The sequence below is a fragment of the Homo sapiens genome, chromosome 7 (assembly GCF_000001405.40).
Source record: "Homo sapiens chromosome 7, GRCh38.p14 Primary Assembly".
In the NCBI taxonomy this organism is placed as follows: domain Eukaryota; kingdom Metazoa; phylum Chordata; class Mammalia; order Primates; family Hominidae; genus Homo; species Homo sapiens.
Window position 1 is genome coordinate 7,879,521 of NC_000007.14, and position 14,929 is coordinate 7,894,449.

At 38.4% G+C, this 14,929-nt stretch overlaps 1 long non-coding RNA gene across 2 annotated transcripts in view; it reads right to left on the reverse strand.

The window, feature by feature from the left end:
* LOC124901586 (uncharacterized) overlaps window positions 1–14,929 on the reverse strand; it is a 52,554-nt gene that overhangs the window by 8,853 nt on the left and 28,772 nt on the right. The gene's annotated exons all lie outside the window — the stretch shown is intronic.

Genomic DNA, 14,929 nt, shown 5'->3' on the forward strand with positions numbered 1-14,929 from the left:
ATTTTTTATTCTGTATATAAATTAATATTTCTATGAAACATTAGAAATCAATACGTCAACTTCATTTTACCCAAGATAAAATTGAAGCCTAGAAAGACTAAATGACTTAAATCACTTAGTGATAAATAAATGCCTACTTTAATAGTGTTAGTAATTATAATATATGATAACAAAGCTGTATGATATGGTGGGAGAGAGTTCAGGCAATTGAGGCAGCCAGACAGAGTTTGTAATGGCTCCCTCCTTTATAAGCTGTGGGGCTTTCAATCAGTCCCCTAACTTCTGGTGCCCTCAGTTCTCTCAATTGTGAAACACTAATTGTTCATAACTTGTAGCGTTGTGTTAAGTTATAGGTGGTGTATGTCAAATGCCTGGCAGCCTAAAGCCTTGCACATCATCGGTATTCTGGGAAAGGGATTGTTATAATTCTCGTTATTGACCATACACACACAATACTATAATGAAATGCAAAATACATATTAATTGAACTTCTTGAAGAGTAACATAAATAAAACAGCTACCTACGTTAACTGTAGATCCCCCTCCTTCCCAGTTATTTTTTTCCATATTAAATACCTTACTATGAGAAATATTCCTAAAATATGTTAGTTGACTGTTCTGCCTTAACTAAGAATTCCATAGTGAACATTTTTTTCTTTTTCTCGTTATTACAGTCTTTTTCCTAATATATGTTATTGTTGCAAAGTACTATAGATATGGAATGTGCAGGTGATTTTACTGAATCTTATTTATTTATTTGTGACAGAGTTTTGCTCTTGTCACCCAGGCTGGAATGCAATGGCATGATCTCGGCTCACTGCAACCTCCTCCTCCTGGGTTCAAGCGATTCTCTTGCCTCAGCCTCCCAAGTAGCTGCGATTACAGGTGCCTGCCACCATGCCTAATTTTTTTTTTTTTTTTTTTTAGTAGATACAGGGCTTCACCATGTTGACTAGGCTGGTCTCGAACTCCTGAGATGATCCACCCGCCTAGGCCTCCCAAATTGCTGGGATTACAGGCATGAGCCACTGTGCCCAGCCTTGAATCTTATTTTTAGCCCTAAAATATATTCAAGAACTTGCATGTATTTTTTTCCCAAGCTTTCTTTAAAGACATTTGCATTCTTTCCTAAAAACAGAATGAGAGAGGCGATTCTGACCAATTTATTATCCTGGCTAATTAAATTTTGATCAACTGAACTTTTAAAATTGTACCATTAAAATGTTAACAAAGCCACAATTTTTATTAACAATTGCAAATCAAATCCGTAATAGTTTTTTAAGGTAAATATTCATTGACGTCAACACTTATTTTTTTCTTCTCTTAAAGAAAAATGGTAAATTCAAAACAGTATGAAAAAATTCTTCTAAAATTCCCAGAGATTTCATTTCTCATAATTCTAAATGACAGATAAGGAGAAGCAAGGAAAGAATCTCACTCATGTTCTGAAACCGTAGTACATCAGACTACCTCTGTGCCTCCCATGGTAACAATTGATCAATAAGTGAACACTGCCCTCAGTAATCTAGCAAAGAATATGTTTCTTTCAGAGATTAGTGCGTTATCTTATTAATTATGTCAATAACTCACACAAAATATAAGTTTATTGGAAATGCAGTTGAAGGATGGTTTATCTTTTAAAGTTTTTGGGAAATACAGGTTTATTGACATTCTCTTTTGAGCATTTGTCCCATATTACTGAGGGCATGACCTAGGTATTATTGGGAAATCTAAAACTTTCAGAATAAGTCCAATTCCATTCATACTACAGTGGCTTGAAGGATTAAGTATTCTTATGTTTCAGGAAAAGGACTCTTTTTGCCATATGGTTTGGCAGATAGGCGTGTGTGGGAAAGAGAGAAAGAGGTATTGATTGACGCAGGGAACTCTGTTTCAGTCGATGTGACAATATGTCAGTCTTTTAAAAATTTAAATAAACTTTTTATTTTGGAATAGTTTTAGATTCACAGAAAAATTATGAAGGTACTACAGAGAGTTCCCACATACCCCTCACTTAGTTTCCCCTGTTGTTGACATGTCACGTAACTGCAGTACATTTGTCACAACCGAGGAATCAACACCGGTACATTGCAATTAACTACACTGCACACCCCGTTCAGATTTCATAGTTTTCCTCTAATGTCCTTTTTCTCCTTCAGCAGCCTACCTGGGATAGCACATTACATTTATTTAGTCGTCATATCTCCTTAGGCACCTCTTGGCTTCAACAGTTTCTCAGACTTTTTATTTTTGATGACCTTGACAGTTTTGAGGAGTACTGGTTAAGTATTTTGTAGAATATTTCTCAAGTGGGGTTTATCTGATGTTTTCACATGGTTAGACTAGGGATATCGGTTTTTGGAGAAATATTAAAAAGGTGATACCCCCTTCAGTGAGATTATATCGTATTGAGAGTAGTATAAGCTATAGACATGACTTATTACTGATGATGCTGACTTTGAATACCTGGCCAAAGTAGTGCTTCTCAGGTTTCTCCACTGCAAAAGTTATTCCCCCCAACCTTTCTATACTCTTTGGAATTAAATCACAAAGCACAGCCCACACTCAACGAGTGGGTAATTAAACTCCACCTCCTTGAAAGGCAACTATCACATAAATTATTTGGAATTCTTCTGCATGAGAGATTTGTCTCTTTTCCCCAATTTATTTATCAATTATTTATATTAGTATGAACTCAGGAATCTTCAATCTTTTTCCAAGTCTTAATCAGTGCTATCCAAGAGACATATTTACATTTTTATGAAAGTCGATAAAATTTGGAACATTTTACATGGTGCAGATGAATACCATTTTATGTTGGATACGATAGTATATTCTATGGTTTCCTCAAAATTTATCTTCCTGTTAATGTCAGGCATGTATCTCCTTAGCTTGCCACAAATAACTATATATACCACAGACCTTCCTTTGTAGGGCTAACAGTGTTGCATTGTAAGTGGAGGCCTCATAGATACCTGGCCTTTTCCTACCTTATTCCAAAGATGGTTGCATCTTATAAATAATGTCATTCTTCAGCAAATGGTATGGAAATGAGATTGTAATGTCATTATTTCCTCTTTAAATAATCAGGACAACTCATGATACAAAGAGCTCTTCTCTATAAAAGGTGGGACTTTTTTTTTTAGTAATAGCAAAAATAAAATTGTACCTCCTTAATCTTCTACAGAAAGATGGATTTCATTTTCAACATTAAGAGGTAGTTTTAAGAAGCAGTAGAAGTCAGCCTGGGCAGCATGGTGAAACCCCGTCTCTACAAAAAAGTTAGCTGGGCTTAGTAGTTGCAATCCCAGCTACTCTGGAGGCTGAGGTTGGAGATCATCTGAGCCTGGGGAGGTCGAGGCTGCAGTGATACAGTGAGCCGTGATTGTGCCACTCCAGCCTGGTTGACAGAGTGAGACCCTGCCAAAAAAAAAGAAAGGGAGAAGGAGAAGGAAGCAATAAGAGGAAGAAGAAGAAGGAGGAGGAGAAGGAGGAAGAAGAAAGAAGAAGAAAGAAGAGGAAGAAGAAGAAAGGAAGAAGGAAGAAGGAGAAGGAGGAGAAGGAGAAAAAGAGGAAGAGGAAGAAGAAGAAGAGGAAGAAGAAGAAGAAAAGAAGAAGCAGCAATAAAAGGAAACCAATCTTCTTTTGGAGGGGAAAAGTGCCCAAGAATCTCATAATTTTACTTCTCATTAGCGAAAGCTCACTGCATGCTAAAAGGTAAATTTGATGAGTGGATCTCATTCAGTTTCCTTTGGGAAAGACACAATCAAAACAAAAAACAACTTATTTAGTCTTTGCAAGAAACTTGAATATAATTCCTTGTCAAGAATTTACCCAATCCCAATTTTCACCCTTACAAAAAATAAATAAATAAATAAATGTCTTACAATCAAAGCTAAAGCAAAGGATAATTGCATCCAGAACAAACCGTCAGTTGCCCAGCCCCAACAGAGAGCTTGCAAGTCACTACCCAGGCCAGAAAGGGAGTCAGACAACAGAGCATTTCAGAGGTCAGTTAAGGAGACAGGTTCCAACTTAGGACTGCTGCCAGGGATGTACAATCCAGTGTCTGACATCTGGGTTCTACAGCTGCCAAATCTGCCCCTTGTGTGGCCACAGGTGTTGGCTATAACTCTGAGGCACATTGGAGAAGGAACAGGGTAATGTCAACGTCATTGTGCATATGTGTGTTTATGTGTATGGTTTTTCTTTTAATTTTTTCAAAAGGTACATAATTAATTTTGTTTTAAAATGAATGTATTTCTACATAATGGCTGGGAACATTCGGGAGGCTAGCAAAGAAGAAGCTTTTGTTCAAGAACAAGGGCAAAACAAAGCTGAATTTTTACACCTACAGGGTACATTGTACGCTAACATGTTGTGTGTGATATTGTTAACTTAGTCATTTGAATAGGCCTTCTCAGGACAAAAATAAATAAATAAATGGATGCCGAAACGCACACAGGCAGTTGGTATAAGATGAAACCTAAATACTCATTCTCTTCCTGTAGGCTTCTCCCCTCATCCTTCTTTTGGATCTTCAGGAGAATTTGTGTTTATCCACACATATTTTTGAGCCTGGAACAGACTAGACTGTATGTAGTCTTCTATCTCACACTATACCAGTTGTAGCCATCAATTAACACAGCTTAAAACAGGAACACTAAACTTTCCTCTTCTTTTTGCAGGAAACTTAGCTACTGTCTGTAAAGCAAATCTGGAAGTTTCTACCTCAGGTAGCTGTTTGAGTTTCCTAACCCTAAAGATGTAGGCAACCCTAAAGATGTAGAAGAAATGAAGATGATTTAGAGAATGGAATGATCCCGGTAAGAAACTTAAAGAACAGATGGTCAGTAGGTTAGAGAAAAAAAATACAGGTCTATAGCTCCACAAATTAATTGGATATTTCTTCCATGTTTTGCCTATTCCATATCCTGAAATTAGAAATTGAACTTCAAGGAGGAGGAAGGAATCTACATATTTTATGTTCATATTGAATCCCTTCTAAAGAGAAATGCTTCAGTCCTTGGGCCAATGTCTGTCCTGCTTTTAAAACTAATGTGACCTGCAGTGTTTTTTCACTGTATCCTCTATATATTCCACCAGCCAAGATTTCTGACAGGTTATAGTTTGTGTTTTCTATTACAAAGATCATAGGTAAATTGAATGCACTTTTTCAAAGATTAACCCCCATCCCCTATTTCACTTAACAATCAGTGCTCTGACTGGGCTTGTGCTTAGCACATGATAAATCCTCAGTCAGGATTTGTTGAATGAATGAGTGAACCAATGAAATCAATCATTAAGTTATTTATACAGGAGATTTCCCAAAAGCAAAGGAATAGAATTTAAAAACTTTTGTCATTTCTCCAGCCTTGGGAAGAACTGTGTTTGTGCAGTTGAAAATAATGCTTAGCTCACCAGGCCTCTACAAATTGTGCCTTTTATCTGTTTTGGGTATTTTCCATGTTTCTCAGGTTGTGTTTTCCTCTGCCCATAATGACTACGTATGTCTTCATGATGAGTAAGAGCTGATTCTAGACAATACAGTGTATGTTGGTCCGAGGTTTTATCTAGCTGCCAAGTTTCCCTTGTGTGTTCTTGGTTATGGTAGTGTGTATTCCTGTCCCAGAATTTATTAGTCCGATCTGACCTGTCCTTGAAAAATGTTTTCCTTTTTCATTTGCTTGCCTCCAAGCACATTTGAGTATTTTTAATGACCTTGTTTTTTTTTAAAAAAAGGTTTTTCCAGGAGCAGTAGTGCACCTTTGTTTCAGTACTCTCCTACATCGCTGTCCTACATTTCCTACTCAGCCAGTTCTATCCCTTCGTCATACAAACATGTTTAGCGCTTTCCTGTCTAACTCCAACTATCAACTCTTTTTTCTTTCTCTTTAGAGTCGAGCTTCTTGAGAGAGTGGTCTATATTTGTGCCTCCAGTTTCTTACTTTTTATTCATTGTCAACTTCTGCAATCTGATTTTGCGTCCCTCATTAGAACCTCCCCTGAACTGGTTTATACTCGGCCCACCTCTAAAGCCTGCCAAATGCCTTTATCTCTCTTTTTTTTTTTTGAGGTGAAGTTTCACTCTGTCCCCCAGGCTGGAGGGCAATGGCACAATCGCACAATCTCAGCTCACTGCAATCTCCACCTCCCAGGTTCAAGCGATTCTTCTGCCTCAGCCTCCCAAGTAGTTAGGATTACAGGCATGTGCCACCACACCTGGCTAATTTTTTTTTTTTTTTGTATTTAGTAGAGACGGGTTTTCACCATGTTGGTCAGGCTGGTCTCGAGCTCCTGACCGCCGGTGATCGACTCGCCTTGGCCTCCCAAAGTGCTGGGATTACAGGCATTAGCCACCATGCCCAGGCTATCTCTCTTTGAGGCAATTAATCACTATTGATTAATCCTACTCTCTTGAAATTGTCTTCCACCCTTGATGTCTATGACACCTTTTCTGGTGTTCCTTCCATCTCTGTAACCATTCCATTTTAGACCTTTGGGGACTTGTTTTCACTTCTACTTGTAAAATTTTGGTGTTCTTCAGAATTCTGCCTCTGCCTCTCTTCTCTACCTTTTCTTTTGCCTACATAATCATATCCATGTCTTATCTGCATAATCAATCTTCAGCCCAGAACTCTCTCAAGTTCCATATCCATATACATAATTTGCTATCAAATATCTCCCTTGACCCTTGTTCTCAGCTTCTATAACAGATCACAGTAGCTGCTATTTTTATTTGCTCTACACTCTTTTTCATCTCTCTCCCCTCTGCCCACTTTCCTTTGAGGAATTCTGCACCACTTTATGTAGTCCTGTTGGGAGCTGTGATACTTATGGCCATTTCTATACCACAAGGTGATAAACACGTAACCTAGCCTAGTCCAAGTATCATCCATCAACCAGTACATAGATTTTAGGAGAAAGAAACACCTATTTTGCTGGGTTACTACTGACAGCCATCCTTCCCTCCATGTTTCATAGTCTTGACCATATTATTTGAGGCCCTGGATTACCCAAGCAAGAAATCTAAGAATCTATCCATTCTTCTTTCTTACCTCCATACTCAATTGATGATAAACTTTTGTTAATTATACATCTAAAAGATTTGTCTGTCAAATATGTACTCCAGACCTACTACTACTCCTGCTTCAGTCCCGGTCTTTATCATTTCACCCAACTGATCTCCCTACATCCAGTTAAGCCTCCCTCCCATCCATCCTCTACTCTAAAGCCAGATGAAATATATTAAGAAATACAGATAAATTCCTCAGGGCTTCTGTGGTGTCTCTGGAAAATTGAGGCATTTTAAGGCAAACAAGGGCCCCCCACCTGCCTCTCCAGCCTCCGCAAATGATATTGCAATTCATATATTCTGTGTTCTTGCCCTATTGAGCAATGCCCTGCGCCATTTAACATGCCATAATTTCTTTGATTATCCTTATATTCTATTTCCTTTCCCTGGAATGCCCTGACCTTCCCTTCTTCACCCAGCTAAATCCTATTACAAGACTTTTTTTTTCTGTATCATCTCCTCTAGGAGTCTTCCTTTATTTTTGCTGAGCTGCACTGATCTCTTTCCATGTTTTTGTGCTAACCTGTGCTCCCCTCTTTGAAGGTTCTTGATCCATAGTATTGTAATTGTTTGTTCCCTGTCTGATTCATAACTCTGAATTGATACCAACATATAGACTTCTGTGCTTAACATGATGCCTGACATACAGCGTGTGCTCGGTAAAATTTGTCCAGTAGGTGAATGATTGAGTCACTATTGATTCAAGGAAATACATGAGTTTATATGCCATCTATATTAGACTATTAGATGTTGCCCTTGTGTCTGTGTTGGAAGCCTTTAAGGAAACCTTTCAGATATCCCTATTAGAATATGCTACATTTCTTTAATGCTCCCAAACATATCTTGTATTCTAAATAAATTAGCTTTTTAAATTTCTACCCCTTTTGTTTGGTGACCTGTATCAGCATTAATACAATAAAGACATTTTATATTTATTATAATCTTTCAGACAGTGTTAAGTCTTCAGATTAAATTTTTGGGATGTAAGTTACTATGAATCTATGTATTAATATTATTATTTTAGACACAGGGTCTTGCTCTGTTGCTCCCAGGCTGGAGTGCAGTGGTGTGATAATAGCTCACTGCAGACTCCAAATTCCTGGGCTCAAGTGATCCTCCTACCTCAGCTTCCCCAGTGGCTGAGACTATAGGCACCTGCCACCATGCCTGGCTAATATTTTAATTTTTGTAGAGATGGGATCTCACTTTATTGCCCAGGCTGGTCATGAACTCCTGGCTTTAAGCAATCCTCCTGCTTTAGCCTCCCAAAGTACTAGGATTATAGGCATTGAGCCACCATGGCTGGCTGGATCTATGTATTATAACTTCAGTTTTATTTTTTGGTTTACTTTATTTTTTATTTTATTTTATTTTTTTGAAACGGAGTCTCACTTACTCTGTAGACCAGGCAAGAGTTCAGTGGTGCAATCTCAGCTTACTGCAACCTCTGCTTCCCAGGTTCAAGTGATTCTCCCACCTCAGCCTCCCAAAGTGCTGGGATTACAGGTGTGAGCCACCGCGCCCAGCTAATTTTTTGTGTGTGTTTTTAGCATAGACGGGCTTTCCCCAAGTTGGCCAAGGTGGTCTCAGACTCCTGACAAGTGATCCACCCACCTCGGCCTCCCAAAGTGCTGGGATTACAGGCGTGAGCCACCGTGCCTAGCCTATTTTTTTGGCTTATTTTAATATCTACCTGGGAAGACCTTTCTTCCTCCTTCTATTAAATTAACATTATTTAATGCCAATTAAGTTACATGGCTCTTTTCAAAGCATGGACTTGAATAGATTTAAATATGTACCATAAAATGGAATACCTGATTTTTTAATGGGCTGTAGCATTTTGTTTTTATGTAATCTAACCTTACTGAAGGATTTGGAAATGTTAACCCTTTTGGTGATGGCCCATATTGAAAGATAAGCTCATTTTGCTTTTGAGGAAAAATAACAATTATTTGAGAAAGGAAAACCACAATTTCGATTTTTCATGCAATCAAAACAGGTTCTAAAATATTCTTTAACTGGTCCATTTATTTGATAGCCAGTTTACTGACTGAATTTAACTTTTTAATTTCTGTAATGGATTATAATGATTTTGTGCACTATTAGTTAACTGAATTTCTAACTAGTGTGGTTACCACATTAGTTATTGCAACCTCTTCATGGGTCCCCTTCTCTCCCAAGATGCAAGTGCAGGTATGCAATACATCATTTTCAATAAATGGGGAATAGTAGCCAATCTCTTAAAACTTTGATTTAGCCAAGAAGAAGAAGGAGGAGGAGGAGGAGGAGGGGGAGGGGGAGGGGAGGGGGAGGGGGAGGAGGAGGAGGAGAAGAAACCCTGTTGTTGGTTAACAAAATTCTCATTTCTGTTACCTAAATAACAAGTTGCAAATACTTTGTAACATCAAGAAGTCATACAATTTTTCATTAGAAAGAGTTTCAGCAAAAATAGCCTCCAGAACTTAAAAACAAATTCTTTTTTTTTTCTTGAGACGGAGTCTTGCACTGGCACCCAGGCTGGAGTGCAGTGGCGCAATCTCGGCTCACTGCAAGCTCCGCCTCCCGGGTTCACGCCATGCTCCTGCCTCAGCCTCCCGAGTAGCTGGGACTACAGGCGCCCGCCACCATGGCCAGGTAAATTTTTTTTGTATTTGTAGTAGAGACGGGGGTTTCACCGTGTTAGCCAGGATGGTCTCGATTTCCTGACCTCGTGATCCGCCCGCCTCGGCCTCCCAAAGTGCTGGGATTACAGGCGTGAGCCACCGCGCCCGGCCTTTTGACTAAAATGCTAGATTAAATTAGTGTCAGGGGTCAATAGTTTCTTCTTTTCCAAATTGAAAGACTACCTGCTGAAACTCTCTATACCCACCTTAGGTTTCCCACTTGAGTAATTTTAAGCAACTCTTAAGTTTCTACGCTTGGCAATATTTAACTATCAGAGAGTGGTTGTAGGAATTAAACCCCCTTTAAGCAAACCAGTTGTCTTCTGGGTGTAGGTTATTTCCATTCAGGCTTGTTTCCATTGGGGCTTTTCTAGTATATGTAGAGATACACCTGAGGCATGATTTCTTTTTTATGTGGATTGTGATAAGGGCCTCATTTCCCAGTGAAATTTCTAACCACTCTAGGGGGCGAGACCACTGGGCTTGCTGCTTTTGTTGTGTTGAAGTACAGCAAATGTGATATCCTTCAGCCTGGGTGTGCTTTCTTATGCTTGTTAAATACAGAGTGCCAGAAAATGTACCCTAAGCATGACAAAACATAATACACAAAAGACAAGTTCTGTATCCTTAGCACTTTTCATTCTAGAGTCTAATATTACAGGTAGCAGTAACAGTATCAAGTTGACCACCAAAGACAGGTTTGATCATCATGAAATGCCAAGTAAGTGAGCCAGTTTAAATGAAAGTCAGGGAAGGAGGTGATTCAGAGGCCAAGCACTGGTTATTCAGAGCATCCAAGAAAATTTGTTGGGGCTAGTTTATTATTTTTTTAATTACCTTGCCTGGAGTGTGTGATTTATAATGCAACAAGATATAGAAAGAATGGACAAATGGACAGGGGTGGTGGTGATAAAACAGAATGCAAAGCTGCAGCACCTAGACATGAAGCCATATTCTCGTCACTAGCCTGGAAATAATGAACTATTGAGTACATGTCTCCTTTTTGGCCCCATTCTCACTATTGAACCTTATTTCCCACAGGGCCCAGTCAAGCCAACCTCTTTTACACCTACTCATTCCTTATCTCCTTTCTGGTGCCATGTCACTCCTCTGTTGATGGTATTGCTCCCTCTTTTGGTCTTATATCCTGCCTGCACACATACTAACGCTCACTGCAGCTCCGTTTTCAGCCCCCTCATGAATGTGTTCTCCAGGAATGGCCGACACATGTCATCTCAGAGCCCCTCTGGCTCTGGCATTCGGATTTTCCCACTGTTTCTTCCACTTGTTTTCTCACAATATTGTGTGATGAATCTTAACTCTCTAAGTACATTGTAAGATATGTAAGGGCAAGCTGATTATGATTTTATGTAATAAAACACATTGCACACAGCAGGTGCTCAATGAATATCTGACTTCCAAACATTATTGGAGTTGTTGGATCTCAAATGATTGACCGCCTATGTTAGTGTCAAAGGTCTTCAATGCCGAAGTAAGATGTGTTATCACCACTGTCACTAGAGGGGGATTACCTTCCCTCCTCCCCACCTCTTTCCCACTCCCTGTTTAAATGTGTTCTTTAGTATATGCTCCTTCCCCTAAAGCAGATCCTCTCCCAGAGATGCACCTCTTATAATCAAAGTTTTGAAGCTCACGATTGATTGTAGAACTATTTCATCATCATTAGAAATGGTTAAGTGCTGCCCCTTTTCTTCTTTGTCATTTAACAATTTAATTATGTGTCACTTCAGCTTAGGTTTGAAGCATAGTATTTTTCCCATAGGAGGTACTCAATAAAATCTGGATGGATGGATGGGCAGACGGATATAAGTGGGGTTGTATCCATTATACCTGCACCACAGATGGCCACAGACCTATGAACATATCATTTGCTCCAAATTGTATGGTAGGTCTTCATGACACTTTCAGTGTATCCGCATACTACTTCATTTCCCCTTGAAATGAAGGACAGTTGACAAAGTGGATGTGGTGGGTTGGTATTTAGCAATAGTAATAATAGTTTTTTTAGCTTACATTTGCTGAGTTCTTAGGTACCAAGCACTGTTCTAAATGCTTTACATATATTACTTATCTTTTAAAACCCTATTATTGCCAAAAGTAGAAATAACCCTTGTCCTGATATCAGTTGATGAATGGCTAAATAAAATGTGAAATGTTTATACAATGGAATATTATTCAGCCACAAAAAAGGAATAAAGTTATAATACATGCTACAACATGGATGAATCTTTAAAACGTTATTCTAAGTGAAATAAGCCAGACATAAAAGGACAAATATTGTGTTATTCAACTTATATGAAATATCTAGAATTTGCATCTCTATGTGTACTCATAAAGATGGTAATTTGATTATAAATTACCAAGGACTTTAGTGGGAGGGATGGCAGTTATTACTTAATGGGTACAGTTTCCGTTTGGGGAGATGAAAAATTTTGGAAATAGTGGTAATGGTTGCACAACATTGTGAATGTAATTAATGCCACTGAACTGTACACTTAAAAATGGTTAAAATGGCAAATTTTGTTATATATATTATACCACAGTAAAAAACAGTTTTGCAAAACTCTATTCCTAACCTAATTTTAATTTGACTATATCTGGAATGTTTAAACAAATAGGAGTTGTGTATACTAACATAATGAGAAGTCTAGGAGGGTGCTGTGGCACTGGTTCAGGGTCATCCTCTCCTCGAATCTCTTGGCTGACCATCCACAGGCCTTTCCTGAGTGCTTATTATTTAGCAATAACCTCCTACAATTTAGAAGGAATAGAGTATATGATGGAGGAACAAGGGTCAAGTCACTGTAACCCAAGTATTCTCAATGGGAAGACTGGTTTTGGGGAGACCAAAAATATCTTAAATATTAAATGGTTTGTGGCCCTCCAAGGCTCATCCCTACCCAACAAATCTTTTCCCTTAGTATTTAATTCTCTCATAAGAGAGTATTTAAATTAAATTCTTTTTTCTTTTTTGGAGAAGAGTAATGAAAAAAAATTGAGAAATACTTTTGTAGCCTAAGGAAGAAGGTGGAGCAAGGGATATTTTTCAGAGAAGGTGAGAAGTACTGTTTCCTAAAATGAGATGATACAGTTCTGTAGAATATGAATGGTGAGTGATTTTTTTTTTTTTTTTTCTGAGACAGGGTCTTGCTCTGTCACTCAGGCTGGAGTGCAGTGGCTCCATCATGTCTCACTGCAGCCTCAACCTCCTGGGCTCAAGTGATCCTCCTACCTCCTGAGTAGCTGGGATTGCAGGCGCATGACACCACGCCCAGGTAGTTTCTTTTATTTTTTATAGAGACAGGGTCTGACTATGTTCCCTAGGCTGGTCTTGAACTCCTGGGCTCAAGTGATCCACCTCAACCTCCCAAAGTGCTAGGATTATAGGCATGAGCCACCATGCCTGGCAGTGAGTGAATTTTCAAAGTCCTGCTGGGTGTTTTCGTTAGATGCATCCCTTTAGCTGTTGTTAAAGTCACTATTCATCCCAGTGAATTCACTTTCATTCTCTCTGTTCATGAATGAGATGTTCAGAGAATACTTGCTTTTTATAAAGGATGAAGTAGACATGGACACTAGATCACTTTTGAGAGTAACTGTGTCTGCTTTTTAAATATCTTATCTGAAAATAACTGTACTATTTAGTTAAGATTTCTTTGAGTCACTAAATCTGTAGTTGGGGGTTGGAAGAGGGGACATGTAATTCTTTCTGTACCCTATCTTTTCGACACTTTTCCTAGGTTTTAAAATATATGTGAGATGCTAACATTATGGAGATACAATAATATAACTCATAGCTGCATTTTACATCTATGACTTCATCTGGCTGTGAAACAGATGGCTCACAGAATACAGCAGCCACTCTTATATTGATAGTTGTGGTTTAAAAATCATTGTAACAACTACTAGCAACTACTGTATTTGCTAGAAAGCACATAGTCCAGACTACATTTTGGCCTAGGGAACTGTTATTAATTCAAATATAGGAAGAGTCACTGGATAATTTTAGAAATATTCATAGCTAAGCATTGGATTTTTGTCTTCTCTGACACTGTACCAAATTCCATAACGAATTTCTTCTTGCTTAGATGTGACTGGGACAAAGCCTCCCCACATTTGACTTAATTGTTGCTGGTCCCAAATATTTGACTGAAAGTCTCATTACCTTTTAGCCATCCTCGCAAAAACATAATTGAATATGTATTTTCATCTCTACTGAAATATCATTTTCCTTCAAATCAACTAAATTTGCCTCTTCCCCCAATTCGTTGTAGGATTCATTTTATCATATATCAGCTTTTTTTTCTCTAAACTATAGGAAGGGAATTGTCTGATGATAAAGCGGAAAGCACAAAAGTCATGAAATGCTAGGCTAAGGCTCTCCTGTCAATAAGCACCCACTATGGCCCTTTCTGCAAACCTCAGTACCCAGTTAGTGCCATAACTAGTCATCGTCCATCCTTTGTAAGGAAACAGTTTCTGGTTCCCTGGCCTTTGCATGATTGTGTTCAAATGTTTATTTCACTTTTGGATATTTGGCTCATTTTTTTCTTTCCACCTTATCTCCTTTATTCTAAGGCAGGGTGAGGTTGGAGATGATATATATTGAGGAAGAAAAATAGAAAAACATACACTCTCTGAAATTCCCTGGAATTTAAGTTAGTTTCCTTTAGAACCAGGGATAAAACTCTTTGTCCAGATTTATCCATCCCTTTTCATTTCTTAAATATGGTAAGGAATTCTTACATCTCTGGTACTGGCCTTTGGTATCCAGTAAAATAAATGGAGAGACGCTCAGTAAATGTCTTTTAAGTGAGTGTCCTAATAAATGTTCCCTAAAGTGTTTATTTGAGTCCCGTGTCTTATATCATTTGACAGAACCACACAATTTGGGTTCTGTGAGGTGGATGCTAGGGTCTAGGTGAGATCGTTCTGGTTAGGATTTCCTATAGGCATGTATCAACAGAGCCAAAGCACAATTATTTTCTCCAATAAAATAGAACTTCATTTAAGCACATAAATACAAACATAAAGGAACATTCTGTGTAATTAAAAGACACAATATAGAGCTCAAGCTAAAGACATTCATGTGTCTAGGTGTAGTTAAATGCCTCACTAACATTCAGCCATTCTCAGTCACTGTAATCCAAACCCAATATTTCCCTGGGCT